Source organism: Homo sapiens, chromosome 2 (genome assembly GCF_000001405.40).
Source record: "Homo sapiens chromosome 2, GRCh38.p14 Primary Assembly".
Lineage (NCBI taxonomy): Eukaryota > Metazoa > Chordata > Mammalia > Primates > Hominidae > Homo > Homo sapiens.
This window is the reverse complement of record NC_000002.12, coordinates 176,103,382-176,120,838: the sequence shown is the minus strand read 5'-3', so window position 1 is coordinate 176,120,838 and position 17,457 is coordinate 176,103,382. Positions and strand designations below refer to the sequence as shown.

Below are 17,457 nucleotides of genomic sequence, written 5' to 3'. Positions count from 1 at the left end.
ACCATGGCAGCGAATGGAACATTAGACTTCATGGGAAGTCATGTTCATTTGCAAAATTTTCAGTCACCCTTTCTGCATTTTCTTGCATCCCAGATGCAGCAGTTCCCACCAGCATTTTGTAATTAAATAGAGGAAAGACTGACTGGGGAAAATCTTTTCATTTCTTCCTTTAACAAAATTTCATGTGGGCCACTAAAAGGTAATGACTGAGCATAAAACCCGTCCACAAGGAGATCAAGGCGAAGTGGGATGGGAAAACTCACCCATCCTCGGCTTCTCTGGGGTCTGGCTGTCTTGCGCTTGGGATGGGGGTAGGGCTGAGGGAAAGGGGGCAGAATTGGATCCGCTGCAGTGCTACACTGCTGTTTGTCCTTGCTCCTGTAATGGAGGCCGGCAACTTCCAGGTGGGCAAGACTAGCTTCAACCTAGCCCCTGATGATTGCTCGCCAGCCAGAAATCACCAAGATGCCACTGAAAGCATTAAAAACAACACAACCAAAACCAAAGAGGAGAAAACACACAAATGGGAAGCTTTGAGGAGAAAGTGGCTTGGGGTATAGGCTTACTTACCAGGTTCAGGCCAGAGGAAAGCTCACACCCATTGAGAGCGCAATTATGTTACTATCACTGGGGACTGGGAAAGGAAAGAGGAGACTCCCCTTCCTCCCAATTATGAAAACTTCACTCTCAAGCTAGCTTATAATTCCTCTCCCCCAACCACTGCCAAAATCCAACACCCTAGGCCTCCTCCAGCTTTTCTCCCCCATCTCCCTTCCCCTACTAGTCTATCACTCCCCTGCCCAAATGCCCCAAACAGGGAGTGTAACCAGAAGATAATCTCACCATAGGCTTTCATTTCCACCATAACATATTTCCATTTCAGAAAGCAGAGGGAGTGAACTCATTTCCAGAGTTTATTGCATTATACATGCGACCAGAACATGCACAGAAAGGACAGGTTGCTGTTGTACTTCTACCAAACCACAGATGCACCACAAGGGAAAGGCTACAAGGCATAAATCGCCAATATCCCATCTCACCAAGGACAACTGCTAAATTCATTTGTGAAAAGATACATTGTAATGTGCTTTTTAAGTCCCCCTCCCTCCAACTTGTGGGTTTTCTTAATCTTTTTTTTTTAAATATATATGTCATTTTTAAAGTACTGGATGTATTCAAAATGCCATGAGTTCATGGACTAACCACACACATAGACCTTTTGTGTTAGGAAAGACATGAAAAAGTCACATTGCTGGATGGATGGATGGATGGATGCTCTACAGTTCCAATAAGTTAAGACCCAAATGAAAATGCGCAATAATAGTTACCCTGCATTACGATGAAAAAATAATAAATTACACGTGCTAAGTTTTTATATATATATATATATATATATATATATACTCATAGGGATTACAGATCACTTGCAGCACGAACATAATGACCCCAAAGTCACATTCTAGCAGGAAAACAAAATACAACAAAACAACAAACAAAGAGCGGTGAAGGTTTTGTTTCCGCTTTCCCAGTCCTCCAGCACTGGGCCCTGGAACGCGGTGCCCCCTCTCCAATCCTGGCCTCTGACCGGCCTCAGACCGGCCTCAGACCTAAGAAAACGTGAGGTTGGCGGTCAGTTCTCGGATCCGGTTCTCTCGGCTCATCTTCTTGAGTTTCATTCGGCGGTTTTGAAACCAAATCTTGACCTGCCTGTCGGTGAGGTTAACGCTCTTACTGATCTCTAGGCGGCGCTCGCGGGTGAGGTACATATTGAACAAGAACTCTTTTTCTAATTCCAGCGTTTGGTGCTTAGTGTAAGGGCACCTCTTCTTTCTGCCACTCTTTGCAGTGAGCCAATTGCTGGTTGGTGTATCAGACTTGATTTCCTCTAACAAAATTAAAGGGAGAAGAAGAAAAAAATCAAGAGGTTTTTTGTTTGTTTGTTTTTGTTTTTGTTTTTGTTTTGGTTTTGGTTTTGGTTTTCGTTTTTGTTTTTTTCTTCAGACTGTTCAAATGTACCCTTGGCCGTGACCCTGCTGGCAGCCAGGCCGCTTTGGAAAATGCTAGTATTAAACATTACTCACATGAAGTGGGCCTTGGAAGGGAATCTTACATTGATGCCACATTACTTAAATGACATGATGGCAGGACAGTCTGCATTTGGGTTCTCGCTCTCTCTTTCAACTTTCTCACTTGTACAAAACATTAGTAGAATAGTAAACTTTCCAGATCTCCCCAGCAACATTCTAAGGGTTCAGCTCCTAACAGGGACGGAGGGGAATACGCCACGACCTGGACAAGCCTACCAACCCCACTGCTGCCTCAGGTCCCCAAATCTGCCACTTCTTCCCCACCTCTCCTAGGCAGTCAGGAATCCTGACAGTCAGGTTTATAGGTGCCCATTCTCTTTCAAAAGATAAATGGGGAAGCGAGACACCTTCCCCCACCTTGCCTGGGTATTGTTGCATTCCCCAGAATTTCCTTAATTTTCATGTCTTCTTGCCCCCACACTAAAGCATTCCCCCAGAAAGGGAGCCCCCTACTGTGGCCCACCTCTAAGCACTGGGGGAGAGGAGGAGGGTTCCTTCTCAAAAAGCCAGATCCCTGGCTCTTTGCCTTAGCCCAGCCCTAAGGCTGGCCTTGCAGGGAGGGCAATGCGGGTTCCACTCTCCCCCTCCGCCTTTGCCCTCTTTGCCGACGGATTGCAAAGACTGCAGCACTTTTCCTAAACAAAGCCAAGGTTACCTAGCCCAGCAAAGGCAGTAAGCCCTGTTTCCCAACTCAAGCACCAACCAGCCCAGCCATCTCTTTCCCCTCACCACCCCCAAGCTCGCAGGATGCGGGGTGCATACACTTGAACACGAACACGGTGCCCTGGATCACCTTAACATGATCATTGGGCTCAAGGCAAAACTGGAACTGCAAATCTGAGCAGGAGAAAAGAGGCTCTGTGGTCGTGTTTATGAGCCGCAGGTCTCCTTTGCGCTCTTTTGTTGTGTTCAGGTCTAGCTCAGGAAAAATAAAACCGGCAAGCTTTTCCTCTGCCCGGGCGCCATCAGCGTGGGGCCAGGACTGGCGGAGAGGGCCAGGGCAGCAGGGGAGAAGCGGGGACTATCTCAGGGCTGAGATCACCCCTCTAAAACCAGGCGGAGCAGCACCTGCCAAGTCGGGCTCCGGCTCGGCGCTGGGCACCCCGGCACTCCCTCTCTGCCGGGTTCCCGGGCTGCGCGCCCCGCTGGGGTGGCAACTCTGCTCATACCGACCTTTGCTTTCCTTCTCCTGCACTTCGGGACTGGACACGGAGACCTCAGCCAGGCAGCTCCTCTCTTCGGGAAGGCCGCCTTTGGCCTCGGGGCTCTCCACCTGGGAGACTTTGGTGGGCTCCTGGCCGCTCACGGGCTCGTTCATCTTCTTTTCCATCTGCAGCTGGGCAGCGGAGAGCTGCGGCTTGGCCGCGCCACGAGGGTTGAGCTGGAGCATGACAGTGGAGCTGCCTTCGGGGCTATTATTGTACTCTTGGGTTTTCCCGGTGGCGTAGGTCTGACTCAGTCTAAAATATCCAGGGACGGGAACCTCAGGGTTCTCAACGGGACAAGACTCAGGGACCAGCCTCTGGTACGAAGGGACCTCGGCCGAAATGAGTTTGTTGCGCTTATCAGAATACATGCAGCAATTGGATTCTTCCTTAATGTTGGTGGTGAAGGAGCAAGTGGGGACTTGCTGTGTAACAGGTTGCTCTATTCGACAAGATCTGTTCGGATCTGTCCAACTGTCTACTTGAGGTATATAAGGATGCACATTCATACCCATATTTTGGTGGTTCACTTCTCTTTTGGCCAGAGACGGGAGCAGTCCACAGGTTTGCATTCCATAGGTCCCCATGTCTGCGCTAGGTGGTGGCATGTACATGCTGGCGCTGCTGGAATAAAAACTGTCACTCCTGCAGGCACTGATCAAGGAATCTACTAAAAAAGTATTAGCAGCAGGAGAGCTGTTGGGAAAGGACATTTTGGGGAAGAATTTGAAGAAGAGAGATTGTGTCCTTTGTAGGCTGACATCTCTAGGAAAACATTCCCCGTGTAATTGTGGATGCCTCTGCCGACCACATGACAACCAAGCCAATGAGATTTGAAAATGGCCTTGAGCCGCAGCCTCCTCTCGGGTCACGTGCTCCAGAGCCTGGCCGGCCGGCCGGGTAAGCACGGACAACAGCGACATCTACTACGCGCCCGCGATAGTGCGCGCTGGAGACAACCGGCCCAGCGCTCTCCGCCGCCCTCCTGTCCGCCTCTCCAGGGCTCGCTCGGCCAGCCCGCCCCACTCGCGTCCCCCGCTTCGGCCCCTGGGCCCAACCGGCGGAAGGAAAGTCTCAGCTCTAGGGGCCTCCAAGTGGACACGCACGGACGGGGAGGGAAGCCAGAGTGCCCTGGCGCCAGCGCACAGAAGCATTCCCCCCACACACAACCAGGCAGAACGCGCTTAAGAGGGCCGGGTCCAGGACAAGCGGGTGGGGGCGCAGGCTGGTTAATTTAGTCCCGGGCAGCCCAGCGGGAAGGTGAGTCGGATTCCGCGGGCCCTGAGACATCCCACCCCAGGGGTCCAAAGGAAAGATCCCTTGGGGCTAAGAAGCGGCCAAGGTGTCTCTAGGAGGGCGGAGGCAAAAAGGGCCGCGAGGGCCGGGAGGCCAAGCAGCTGGCCGGGCCCGGATCCCCATGGATGGGTTGGTCCCTGCGTTGTCCTCCCGCTCGGTCCTCCTGCCTGGCTCCGGGTTCCTATGCGCCCCGGAGGGCTACACGAGGCTTCGGCTCTCAGAGGAACCACACCCTGACCTCTGCGGGGCCGGACCTCTGGGAGCTTTCAGCCCAGAGACAATTCTTTGCCAGCAGTTCACTATCCGCGAAAGCGTCCCTCGGGCTCCCTGTAGGAGAACTAAACAGAGGTTTCTCTCCCCACACCCTGATAATGGAGGGCAAACAGGAAGGAAGAAAGGAAAAAATAATTTAAGAAAAGGGGAAACTCTGACCCTCAGAATCCAGAAGTTTTAGAAAACTGACTGGGCCAAGAAGGACAGAGAGAAATGCAAAGGTGTCATTTTGGTTCTTCTGCAAAGAAAAATGTTTTCCTTTTATGGATTTTGTAAAAGCACTGGTTTCTGACAAGTGCAAGGTACAAAAGGTTGTGGAATTTATTAATACATATTAAGAAGAATCAGGGCGATCAATAAAATTCTCATCTACATTCTTGGGCTACTTGGTAATTTTCTTGCTTCTGAAGGTTTTTAAAGAGTTATGCCCGCTGTTGCCACACACGGGAAGATACTTTATTAACAAATCAATCGAGACTTTGTAAAGGATAAGATTAATAGTTAAATTTACCATAATGGCGTTCGCTTTATGAATTATTGAAAATTATACTATTGATTTTTTTCCCTTCGCTGCTAACCAAGAAGGTCATTTTTGTTTTAATACAAATTGTCAAATATTAAAAGCTATACTTTTGTCAGAAGTTGAGTTTTACAGTTTTGGACAATTTCTGAAATTATTTGACAAGGCTTTGCTTGGGTAAGGGAGGGGAAGGAGGTGGGAATCTTAGTTCTCTGTTTCCTTTGGTGAGGGAAACTTCTATGAAGAGGATATGGTCTGGGGTTGTGGTCCGGCTCATTAAAGAACCACCACTACCACCACTACCACCACTACCACCACTACCACCATGGAAACTCAGAGTTTTATGAGAAACTTCAACAACTTCCTCCCTCCCTCTCTTGCTGCAGGCGGGTGAGCCGCCCTGCGGAAGCCCGGGCCTCGGGGCAGCAGCGGGGAGCTTTAACCTTGATTTCCAAAGACTTGCCCTGAGTGAGGGGCCGGCCAGGGCTTGGAGCCGTCCTTCGGCCTGCCAGGTTCCCTTCCTGCCAGCCAAGAAACTAAAGCGGTCCCAGAAACTCTGACCATGAACCAGTTCTCAGTCCGGGAGGGCATCTGTGTTCTCTTTTCCCCGTACTCGCTGGGGCATGGGCTGGCCTTGGATTTCAGGCCCAGAGACTGAACTTGTGGGTAAATTGGGTTTCCACCTCAATAGAACATTTCTTTGGGGCCTGAGGTTCATTAAAGCGCCTCAGCATTCTGGGGGACCTAGTAGCCCGCCCGCTCCTTTACAAAAACCTTTCCCAAAAAACCCTTTGTCCCTCTTCCCAAAAAGGAATCTCCCCTGGCCTGGTTGAAACAAGCGTTGAACATTATTTTCGGCCTTGGGACCCTTTCGCCTGTTCCCTCTCGGTGCTCTCGCCCAAACAATAACCTCTTTTAAAAAACTCCGCGGTGGCAATGAGACAGACCTTTTAAACCTTTACGCAGCTGTTCAAATACAACATCATTGTCAGGTTAAAAGCCTGGCGCCTCTAACTGCTTTGGCTGCAGCATCCCAGCATAGCCTGGGGTTTAAACATTACCTTTCCACAGGGGTGGCTGTTTTCGAGCTTGGGGGTGGGGGTTGAGGATGGCCGGAAAAACAAAACAAGACAAAACATAACTTTTGACTCTAGGTTGCTAAGGTACTGTTCAAAGCTAACAGCCACTGACCAGCGCCCTGAAATTTGCTTTCTCACATAGTAGAGATCTTGTTTCAAGCCAGGGCTAAGCGTGCCCAAAGCTGAATGAAGTGCCCGCTGCACTCGCTTGCCGCAGGCGCCCTGACACTAGCTTGGCGCTCCAGCAGTATCGAGTGTCGCCCTTTTGCCTCTTGGCCAGAAGAGCTGCTGGGAACTTGTTTGCCCAATTTTCCCTACCCTAAGAAAGGCAAGACTGTTTAATCTAATCGGGAATTTTATGCCCATCAAATGCCCTTTCATAATCTTTATTTATACATGAAGAAAACATACAGGCTAAAAACAAGCAATTCCTTGCGGGCGGGTAGGTCTGCAGTGAGCCAGAATAGGCAGGATGTGTCTTCAGAATTTGGGGACCTTTCCATTTCAGCTTTCAGTGGCTTTGAGCTCAAAGTCACTCCCTTATTGGTTAGAGTTAAATAGGTTTTTACTCACAGACAAAAATGTGTATATCAGACATAATTTTGAATCTGTTCTCACAAAATTCTATTTTTTATCTTTAAAATTTCTGCTTTCAGACCCGCTCCTTGAGACAAGAGACTGTCAATATTTTGAGATATTTTATCATTAAAAAATTGAGCAAGATAGAAATAATACAAAAGAATGATCCGAGCCCCAAAGGATGGAAAGTGTGCCTAAGACTCTAAGGCTGAGGTGAGACAAATGGAATAAAAAGGCCGTGCTCTACAGGCCAGCCTTTATTTTGCTTATGAGTATTTAATGTAGCTGATGTTTTCCATCATCTTTAGATCAGTTGGAGCAGTTACCATTAATAATAAATCAATATTGCACCATAAAGGAGATGAATACCCATATTTGTACCAAGACGCCCTTCTCCCTGCCACAGTTCTTTCCAGGGAAAAATTAAAAGAACAGCTTGAACAAGAAATTAGCATTTGTAATCAAAAAGTGGCTTGCATCTGCACTCTTGTCTCCTGGAAGAAAAGTTGAAGCCCTGGGCCTGAGTGGACCTGTGGGCTCTTAGGGTCACCCCGGATTAGGGTTCTGAGCCACCTCTGGGCTGTGTCACTCTTTGGGGACAGAGCGGATGGAGTCGATTAAAAGCTGTCTTCCCCGGGCGCTCCTCCGGGTTGCACTGTGCACCTCCAAGCCAAGGTGAAAGGAAATCTAGGGGGCAAATGGGGAGTCTACCACCAATGCAATAAGGGGTCTATCCAGACGTGCAACAAGGGCCGGCGGCCGGAGAACCTCCTTCTGCACAGACACAAAAGACTCCTACTTCGCGCATTTCCCTTCCACTTCAGAGTCTGAGACCTTGGCGCCTTAGGATCCAAGGCCACTCTCCGCAAGCCCCACACACTTTGTAAGATGGGGGTGGGGAGAGGTCTTCAGCCCCCAGAGGTTCTGGTCTGATCCCGGGCCCTTGTCAGGCCCATCTTGGGCGCAGGGAGGAAAGGAACTGCAGACCGCTGAGAAGCGGTGTTTCGCAGGCGGCTGCCAGCCAAGTCCAAGGGGCCCCCGCACAGCCAGATGTGCAGCCGCTGGGGCCGCCTTGAGAGGACAACGACATTTAGGGAGGGCAGCTCTCACTTCACATAGACCGAGGACCCCGTTCAGCCTCGGGAAAGGTAGCGTCACTATAGACAAGGTGGACCGGCGGTCAGACTAGTGGAGCCAAGGTTGCCTGCGGGGAACACCCACGCCACTCGTTGGAGCCTCGCCGGGGGGCTCACTGGAGCCCCGGCCTCCCCACCAAAGCTGAGGCCAGCTCCGGGAGAGGGGCAAGCGGCAGGCCCCAGGGCCTTTGGTCCAGGGCTTGGAGGGCCAACAAGGCCAGCGCTAATTCTGGGGGTTGCAGGCTCTTCACAATGAACTTCGGGGAGGGAAAGGGGGCAGTCATCCTCCCTTAGAGAGGCCAATGTCGGGGAGCCCTGTCTCCTCTCTTGTGAACTCCGAACGGGGACACAGGCCCTCCCCAAGGTCAGGGGCTTTGCTGGAGGAAGGAGGGCACGCAACGAATGCACTGCTTCTGAGAGCCACAATTCAACTCTGCTCAAGACCGGCGTGCAGCTTGGAAGGGTGGCCAGTTTTCTGTCAAACGCAAAGCCCGTTTGCTTCAAATACATTCCCCGTTTTACAACGCCTTGAAGTATAAACGTTTCCCCCGAGTGCCTGCTGCCTCCCGTGTCCGCATCAGCCCAGCCCGGCCTGGGCACACCAACTCACAGTCCTGCCGGCGCCACTCGGTCGCCACTGGTAGCCGCGCACTCCAGGCACGGCCGCGGGCTCCCAGAACGATTCTCCCAGTCCCCCATGCGTCTTATTTTTTTCTGAGAGACATTTGGCTAAGTGGCCCGCTCCCTGATCTGTTATAAACAAAAGCCTTTTAATCATCCCAGGAGGTCTGAGAGGGGGTAAAACCGATGAAGGTTTTTTTTTTTTTTTTTTTTTTTGCGGGGGGGAGGGGGATGTTAAGTAGGGGGTGTCCAACCCTAGACAAGGCTCTCCACACTGAAACCAAGAAAACTGATTTTCCCTAATTTAATTAACCAGCAGTGGCTATGGTATCTTTCAAAATGCATACATTTATCTTTTAAAACTCTGCTCCACACCATCTGGTTATACCAAGGTATTCTTTTGCAACAGCTTTGTCTTTAAAGAGACAAAGATTAGGCTGTTTCGTGAATCTAGTTGCTCCGTTTTCTGTCTCTATACAACTTCTCACACCTCATGGCTGCTTAGAACAAATAAACTAGCAAACACCTTAGCTGCCGCCTGTTTCTAAGGGGTTGAGGTCGCCTATTAGAATCCAGTGTTGGACAGACAAGGTACCGCGGCCTCTTGGTCAAACGCGGCTTCTGGAACGTGAGCGCGCCCTCGTGTGGATCTCCAGGCCCCTGCAAACGGAAAATGGTATCTCGGGTTCGGCTTGCCTTGGGTGGTGGGCACACAAGCTTGCTACGTTTAGATGCAGTTTTAAAAAATAGATGGAAACAGAAAGAAAAAAAACAGTTTTAAGCTCATGGAACGATCACACTATTAGGGCACTGACATTTTAACCGATGTCTAGAATACCAAAGGAATCCCCTTCTTAACGAAATTTTTCGATTGTAGGCTTTGTTTCCATTGCATCTTTCACCAAAGGATGCTTTTAAAAGCATTATAACTATATTTCCTTTTGTTCCTTATTGTAGAAAGTGCAATAATTTATTTCACAGGGTGGCAAATTGCTTTCAAATTTAATGAAGGTGTAAGGCTGCACAGAACTTCCTCTTTCAAAGGCTTGATTTTAAAACTGTAGTTCTTCATTAAAGCAAAGGGGACCACTATTTAAGACCCCCCGCCAGAATTCTCAGCCTTTCCTAGCTGTAGTGAAAGCAGCTAGAAGGCATTTTAATCTAATCAGTATTTTTAAAAAGAAGTTGACTGCTATTGCATTACACAAACGTTTGCAGGGAAATTAAGGTTATTGATCCTGAAATTAGGAATTTTCTTAGATTTATGGTGAGCTCCTGGTATGATTTTGTGTGGTCATAAATGTGTGTGTGGCTCTCTATATGTGTGAGCATGTATGTGTGAGAGTGGGTGGCAGCTGAAAATCAAGAAGAACTTAAGGCGCCTAATTATTCAGAAAGGTTAAAGGTGATGACCTTGACATTTTGGAAGTTCAAAGGCATACATTTATGCACTTATTTTTTCCTTCCCAAATAAGGCTTAGCAATTTTTTTAATTGCATTTTGAAGTGCATGACTCCTTGGAAGATGCATGGGGTACTGTGCATTTATAGATTTATATTTTGTCTTTGGGCTTAGGAGAGGTTAAGACTCATAAGATTCACTTCACTCTTTTCAGAGAGAGAGCTTTTCTCACTTCTCCAGTTTATTGCACATTGCGGAAATCTCTTTTGGGCCCACCAGAAGGTGTATAATATAACCCAATTAAGCTGTTTAGAACTTTGGCTTTTATGGTGTTGTCTAGACAGTTCAAGGTTTTGTAAACAGCCTGGCCTGGCCCTGCAACATAAAGTGCAGTAGAGCCCTCACCACATTCTTTAACTTGAAGCGATAAATGCCGTGAGAGGGTCTGCAGCTCCTGGCCCTATTTCAGTGGGGGCGGGGAGGGTTTACCTTCCCTACTCCAGGTCCACTTATGACACCAGCAAGCCCTCTCCACCTACTGATGACTTCCTTTTCGAAAACTTCTCCCTTCAATGGAAGTTTCTAATTTTGGTTTCTTCTTTTTTAAGGGACTGTGACTCCTTGTTAGCTTGTAAGAGATCATTTGGATTTTCTAACCAGTTTTTAAAAATGGTTGCTGTCTTTTCAGAAATCCCAAGTTCACTAGACTAGTGGTGGGGGTGGGAGTTTTCTTCTTAGGTTCCTGCTGCCCCAGCCTTACTGCCTGGAGAAGGCAGCGCCAGCATTGCTTGGTCACATCGTCAATTCAGAAATTCATCACTAACATGATTTTTAAAACCAGTGTAACCTAGAGGTGGTGGGAGGGTACGACTACTATTTTAGTGGGACTAAAAAGTATTTCATTCGATTTTCAGTTGCATGGGTTCTGGCCACTAAAATATCCTAAGGAGGCACTAAACCTCAAAGAGGAGAATTCATACAGTGTATTGAAGCTGTAACCTCCATTTTACTAGAAACCATTTATTCACACAAAAAAAGACAGTGACTCATGCCTTGATATGACAGACTAAAAGTACATTTCCCAAAGTTTAAATAACCTGCATTCACCGAAGAGGAAGGAAGGGATCTCTTAAAACTCAGAGCAAAACACCAGCGCCTTCTAGCAACCCCCAACCCGGCCCAACTTCCTACAGACCCCGCCGTGTCCCCACGAGGACTCGGAGAGGGGGAGGGGGAACGACAGCACACTGGCGGTAAAATTGTAACGGGACGTTTGCATTTACCATTTTCCCCTTATTAGGATCCGCTCGGCCAAGTCCCGGCCTCGTCCGCAGGCTGCAGTGGTCGCTGGGAGGTCCCGAGTTGACCGTGGGAAGGAATCGTGAAGTTCCACAGAGAAGAGACGTCATTAAACCCAAGGACAGTGGGCCTGCGGAGAGCAGGCTGGTGGGAAGGAGGGTGGGTGAGTGGGGCTGGGGTGAGGGCGCTTCCTGGAGCTCTCAAAATAAGGGGTTTCCAGTGAAATACTGCAGACGGTCTCTGTTCAGTTTCTTTTCTTTCATCCTGCGATTCTGGAACCAGATTTTGACTTGCCGGTCAGTGAGGTTGAGCATCCGAGAGAGTTGAAGTCTTTTCTCTTTGTTTATGTACACGTTAAAGAAAAACTCGCGTTCCAGTTCGCGGATCTGGTACTTGGTATAGGGACAGCGCTTTTTCCGGGACCGCTGGGGGGCAACTGCAAGGCAAAGAGACCAGGGGGTGAGAGAGGCCGCTGCCTGACAGCCCCCACCCGCCCGCCCGCCCGGGCCACTGAGCGAGGGCCAGGCCCTGGCCCCGTTGGGGACGTTCTCTGCCGCGGCCGAAAGGCCCTGCCTGCGTCGTGGGGGATGATATATGGGCGGGCACAGGAGAGAGTGCGGGCGTGGACATGTGTTCACGCCCGGACACACACACACACACACACACACACACACACACACACAGAGCCTGGCACGGAGGTGGGGAAGCAGAGGGCAAGGCAGGCTCTAAACTGGAACCTGAGGGAACAGAGACAAGAGCAGGCCCGCCGGGGCATCTGCTTGACTCCAGCGGCGCGCGTCAGCTAGCGGCTTGGATAAAGTCCAGTGCAAGGATCAAACTCCCCCCACTTCCCCACCCCCCGCCTCTCTCCCTTAAAAGCAGGAGGCTCCGGTGTATGCACTCACACTGGCTTGAAATCTCCCTCCCTCCCTCCCTCCATGGTATCTAGCAACCCCCTGCCCAAAACTGGGAAAAGGCTCTCGACAGCTATTAATGTCCTCCTCGAAGTCTACCTTAAGCCCACCTAAATTGGTTTCCTACCATAAACACACTTTACAACGGCCCAGGAAATCTTATAGGATGTATAAACCTCTTCGAATGCTTATAAAGTAGCACATAAAAAGGCGCAAGCAGAGGGAGGCCTCCGCCCCCCCCCCCTCCCCCGCGGCCCCCGGGCCCACCGCTTGCCCAGTACCCGGTGCCTACCTGCGCTGCTGCTCTTCTCGGCCCCCGCCTCTCCCGGGGGGCCCTCGCCGTCGCCACCGCTGCCTTCTGCTGCCCCCTTGGGCTCCGAGCCAGGGGTCGCCTTGGTGCAGGGACTGCCCCCGCCGCCACCAGCCCCGGTCCTGGGGTCGCCCTTGTCGGCTGCGCCCTCGGGCTGTGGCGGCGCGGGTGGCGGCGGGGGCTGCGGCCCGGCGAACGGGGGCCCGGGCGCTGCCTCGTAGAACTGGTCGAAGCCCTGTGGCAAGATGCCATTGCGGCCCACCGCGCTGTAGAAGTTGGAGGCGGCGCCCGCGGGGCCGTGCGGCGGCCCCGGCGCAGCGCACACCGGCTCAGGCGCCTTGAAGAGCACGTCCGGCCGGCGGCCCGCGGGCGGGAGAAGCTCGCGTTGCATGGCCGCCTCCTCGGCCGCCGCGGCCGCCGCAGCCGCCGCCGCCGCCGCCGCGTAGTAGGGAGCGTAGCCCCCCGCGCCGCCGCCGCCCCCGCCGGGGCCGCCCCCGCTGCTGCCGCCCCCCGCGCTGCCGCCGCCGCCGCCGCCGCGGTACGGCCACTTGGCGCGCTCCAGGCCGTAGTCGCGGAAGGCCACTTCGCGCACGGGCTGGACGTGCGGAGCCAGGTTGGAAGAGTAGGGGAAAGTCATCTGGCAGGACGACGGTTGGGAAAGGAACGAAGGCTTGCTAGCGAAGTCAGACGGGGCCACATAGTAGGCGCAGCCCGGCAGGTACATGCTGGCTGCGCTCTGGCCGCACTCGTCAAAGTCGTTCATGACTCCGCGGCGTGCGCGCCAGCGAGCCTCTGGCCGCTCCCCGCGCAGCCAACCTGAGCCATCGATTGCACAAGAGGCTTGGGCCAGGATCAACTAAGCAAAAATCCCCACCGGGCGCTGACGTGCAATTCATCTTGATTGATTCTGGTGGTAATTATGTCACGTGACGCCATGAAGAGAAATGTCCTTATATCTATATCAACGCTCGCCAACACGCCCCGGGACGGCTCCTGGCGCCGAGACGCGCGCGCTGGGGGCGGATCGGCTGCCCTCTGCCGCCAGCTCTCCCCGGGCGCTCCCTGACCAGGCTGCGCCTCAGGCCGGTCACCTGCGCGCCGCTGGCCGCTGTCACCGCTGGGCGCATCTGCCACCGCCCGAACGGGCCGCCCGCCCGCGTCCGCCCTCCCGCGCCGCTTTAAGTACGCGGACCGAGGCCGGCGGGGAGGAGGAAGGAGGGGGAAGAGGGGGAGGAAGGGGGAAGGGAGAGAAGCAGCGAGCAGAGGGGGGGAAGCCCCGGCTCCAGGCTCCCTAGAAGCTAGGAACTAGGTGTGAGGGTGTGAGGTTCCGAACCCCACCCCCCTTACTGCAGCCGCTCCCTCCCCCGCGACTCTGCCACCCTCTGCAGCTCACCCGCCTGGGAGCTTGTTGCTTCTTGTTCACCGGGCGGGAGTAATTTCGCCACTCTCCAGGGCGCAGGGAGCCCTGATTTACATATTTTTCTGCCCAGCGCGTTCAGAGTGGAGTGACTTGGCTCTTTCCGGTTCTGACCCCAAGGGTGCGAGTGCTGGCCTCGGAAAAACCCAGGCCATTCACCACCTAGGCACTCACCCAGGCCGGGGCCTTCGTGCCCACCCGGCTCTCTTCCCTTCTCTCTGGTTTCCCTCTCTGTTCTTGTCTCTCTTTCTCCTTGCCTCGTTTCTCTTCAGTCTTCTCCCTTCTCTCTCCTGTCTTCACTTCTCTCCTTCCTCTTCTTTTCCGCTTTCCTTCTTCCTTCCTCTTGCTTTCCTGTCTCCCTTCTCCTCTCTCTCTCTGTCCTCTCATCCTCTCCCCTCCTTTCCTCTAAGCTGTGTGTCACTGTCTCTGTCTCTCTCCCCGTTGCCTCTCTGCCTTCTCCTTCAGCACTGAAGCCAGGAGGGGGCTCAGCCCGTGGTCCCCAGCCTCCCTAGAATCTGGGGAGTCTGGTGAACAAAAGGATCTGGAGTCCTACTCTTAGGGTGCTTGGCTTCCCGCTGGCTCCCCACAAGAGACAACCCCCACACACTCGCACCTTCGTCCTCCTCACCCCTCTGCTTTCAGGCCTAGCCTGGGTGTCCGCCTTATACCTAGACCCTTCACTGCTTCGGAGCCCCGCCAAGGCCTGCGAATCCACGCCGCGTTTCCCCGAGGCTCTTCTGGTACCCTTGGGTCTGCATGGTCACTTCAGCCCCTCCCCCAAGATAGGTTGTCTCTCTAAGGGCTCTCAGCGGAGCCTGACTCCCTCCTGGAGCCCCTCTGTGTCACCTGGCTCTGAGGCAGACTCTTCGTGGGGCACCCCATCCACTCCCCCAAGGCCTCACTCTCCTCCCAGCCTGCCGCGACCCTCTCCTAGCCCATGGGTCCAGGCAAGGCCTGGGATCCCACCTCCGAGTGAGCAGACGCTTTTCAAAGGTAAACCGTCTCTTCCCAAACCCAAATCCCAGAACCGAGGGCAGGAGGCTGCCCCTTTCCCCAAGATTCCTCCGCCCAGGCAATCCCAGCGCTGGGGCCTGGGCCTCAGTCCTATACCCAGGGCAGGCGGCGCTGGCTGTGATGCTGGTTCCCTCCCTGGCCCGGGCTGCTGCAGTGCCGGTGCTGTGCGCTCTGCCCACCGTGCGGACAGACAGAGAAAAGGCGGGTGGTCTGAGCTAATATCTATTTTCTGGCTGATGTACCCCCCCTTCCTCTTTTTCTCCTCCCTCCCTTTCTCCCTTCCTCTCTCCTTCCTCCGCCCCTTCCCATGTCTTCTTCCCTCCCCCAACACTGCGCAAATAGGTCTGTGGCGACTGGAGGGCATCGAGCCTCCCCCAACTAGAACTGCCCATCTTGTGTGCTCCCTCCCCGCAGCTGGCACCCCCGCCCAGATTCCAGCTGACATTCTTCTCCTCAACCCAGACCCCCAGCACACTTATCTGCCTCCCCATCTCCATCCCAGGCCCAAGCCTCTCCCTTTCGGGCTCGTGGTCGACGCCCCTGGATCTCTCTCCTAAAATGGCTCCCTGGACGCTGCACACTGGCCCTGCGGTAGCTCAGGACCCAGGGCAGCTGCGAGGACTTCAACCCGGGTCTTTATGTGTCTGGGGATTCGCAAAATTCTCGCACCTTCTCTCTACTGGCGGCACGGGGTGGGGTGCAGGCAGCCCGGCGCCCCCAGTATGGAGCCTGCTGACCGCCGAAGAGGGAAAAGGGGAGGACGAACCATTCAAGTTCAACGACATGGCGACGGCAGCTCCGGCGGGAGCAGCGATTTGGCGGGGGAGGGTGAGCCATCTGCAGTGGCGCGCCGGTGCATAGGGGAAGGGGGCGGCCGGCCCCTTTCGGCTCCTTAGCGCGGACCCTTGCCCCCCGACCCACTCCACAACCCAGAGCGCTTTCATTCCAGTCCCAGCCCGCTTGGCTCTTTGGCCCCAGCTCCCTCCTAGTTCCTACCCCCATTCCCCAAACCCAGGGAAAACCGCAGCCTCCGGACCCGCGCGTCCCGCTCGAGAACCTACCGTGAAGACCCCGACTCTGTGGCCTTGTCCTTGCCTGCGCGGCCCCACCCGAAACGCAGGGAGCGCACCAGGCCTTCGGGGCGCAGCCAGCCGCTCCGCGAGAAAGAGCTTTCCGCACAGCGCCAGGACGCGATGCGGTGATTTTGAGTCACCCAAGATAAGACACTAACTTGACCTTAACTTTGTCAGGGCGCCCCTGGTATCTGGAGAACGTGAACAGACACTGTCTGGCAGCTCTCGTAAAAGCTGACTGGGGAAGGGATTCTGAGTCATTTCATTTATTGCCACTACAGTTCTGCAAGAAAGCTTTTCCTCCCTGCCAAACTTTAATTATTTATGCTCTTTTAAGAAACGAAAGAAGAGAAATGCAGGGAAAACACCCAGAGCCAGTTCCTTCCCTACAGAGCCTTCGGAATGGACTTCTTAAGTCAAGCGACTGGAGAACAAAAATATGGGGAGATCACCTTTGTCTAAGGACAGTGGGGCAGTCGCCTTGCCCTCCCCCACTATCACTGAGGGGGGAATGCAGCTGGGAGAGGCGGGTGAAGGGTGAAGGGGCATCCCCCCACATGAATATTTACAACGGTTCCAGATTTCTCTTCCACCCGCCGGCATCCCGGAAGCCTCCTCAGCCCGCCTCCCTGGGGGAGAACCCCCAGGCCTTAAAAGCGTCCCCCCTTCCCCGCCGCCCTCTGAGTTCCCAACTGATTGAATGCCAGATGAAGCTGTTTTTTTCTCGTTTTAAAACTGTTTTCTTGGTCAAGAGGCCCGCTTGGACTGCAGCATTTCAGAGGACACATTTGTCTTTCTGAAGGGAATGTTGAGCACTCAGATTTTAGCGTCCTTTCTCTTCGGCTTTTTTTTTTTTTTTTTTTTTTTAACAAATTTCCTAGTGGTTCCAAATCTCTGCGGGAACCCGGGCTATGGAAGGAGACACCAGAGTCTTTGTATTTGTGTGAAATAGCAAACGGGATAGATTTGGAAAAGACTGCTGAACCAAGAGATACGCTTTTATATTTAGAATAATTTAATTTTCTTTGAGGAGTGATCTCCATGAATATCCCCTCCCCCCACTCATCCCAGGCTAAAGGGAAAGAACACGATGATTTAATGATATATTTTGGAAAGAAACGGCCTCCGTGTTTTCTGTCTTAAGGCCTGGATCTGAGTTCATATGCTTTCCTCCTCCTTTCCCCAGCCTTCCGAGCGCTCAGTGCGGCTTCAGCCTTTGTTCAGTTGTTTTTG

General features: G+C 52.9%; 2 protein-coding genes across 3 annotated transcripts, besides 2 other annotated features; both read right to left on the bottom strand.

Moving 5' to 3' along the window:
• HOXD10 (homeobox D10) lies at positions 902-4,061 on the bottom strand. The gene is made up of 2 exons (NM_002148.4): positions 3,261-4,061; positions 902-1,885 (listed from the first exon to the last, which is right to left on the bottom strand). Exons 1-2 carry the CDS (start codon positions 4,003-4,005, stop codon positions 1,608-1,610), a joined length of 1,023 nt encoding a protein of 340 aa, NP_002139.2. The 5' UTR covers positions 4,006-4,061; the 3' UTR covers positions 902-1,607.
• Positions 4,495-5,167: an enhancer, noted in NCBI's record as "H3K27ac-H3K4me1 hESC enhancer chr2:176980400-176981072 (GRCh37/hg19 assembly coordinates)". NCBI's record gives its function as "activates a minimal SCP1, AML or CMV promoter by ChIP-STARR-seq in primed H9 embryonic stem cells {active_cell/tissue: H9 hESC(primed)}" and the evidence as "EXISTENCE:reporter gene assay evidence [ECO:0000049][PMID:30033119]".
• Positions 5,160-13,559, bottom strand: HOXD11 (homeobox D11). Of its 2 annotated transcripts, XR_007073114.1 has the most exons (3): positions 12,703-13,559; positions 11,481-11,932; positions 5,160-9,456 (listed from the first exon to the last, which is right to left on the bottom strand). XR_007073114.1 is itself a non-coding variant. In NM_021192.3 (2 exons), the coding sequence occupies exons 1-2, from the start codon at positions 13,481-13,483 to the stop codon at positions 11,697-11,699; spliced, it is 1,017 nt and encodes a 338-aa protein (NP_067015.2). In that variant the 5' UTR covers positions 13,484-13,559; the 3' UTR covers positions 11,085-11,696. The 2 variants fall into 2 exon arrangements, 1 of the variants encoding a protein (NP_067015.2); NM_021192.3 differs by lacking the exon at positions 5,160-9,456 and having other exon boundaries at positions 11,085-11,932.
• Positions 15,703-16,689: an enhancer, noted in NCBI's record as "H3K27ac-H3K4me1 hESC enhancer chr2:176968878-176969864 (GRCh37/hg19 assembly coordinates)". NCBI's record gives its function as "activates a minimal SCP1, AML or CMV promoter by ChIP-STARR-seq in naive H9 embryonic stem cells {active_cell/tissue: H9 hESC(naive)}" and the evidence as "EXISTENCE:reporter gene assay evidence [ECO:0000049][PMID:30033119]".

Bases quoted from the DNA above. Each gene is read 5' to 3' on its own strand.
- HOXD11 (NM_021192.3), bottom strand. From the start codon at position 13,483: ATGAACGACTTTGACGAGTGCGGCCAGAGCGCAGCCAGCATGTACCTG. The intron at 11,933-12,702 runs GTAGGCACCGGG...TTTGCCTTGCAG, and splicing joins CGAGAAGAGCAGCAGCGCAG to TTGCCCCCCAGCGGTCCCGG.
- HOXD10 (NM_002148.4), bottom strand. From the start codon at position 4,005: ATGTCCTTTCCCAACAGCTCTCCTGCTGCTAATACTTTTTTAGTAGAT. The intron at 1,886-3,260 runs GTCGGTATGAGC...TAATTTTGTTAG, and splicing joins GCAGGAGAAGGAAAGCAAAG to AGGAAATCAAGTCTGATACA.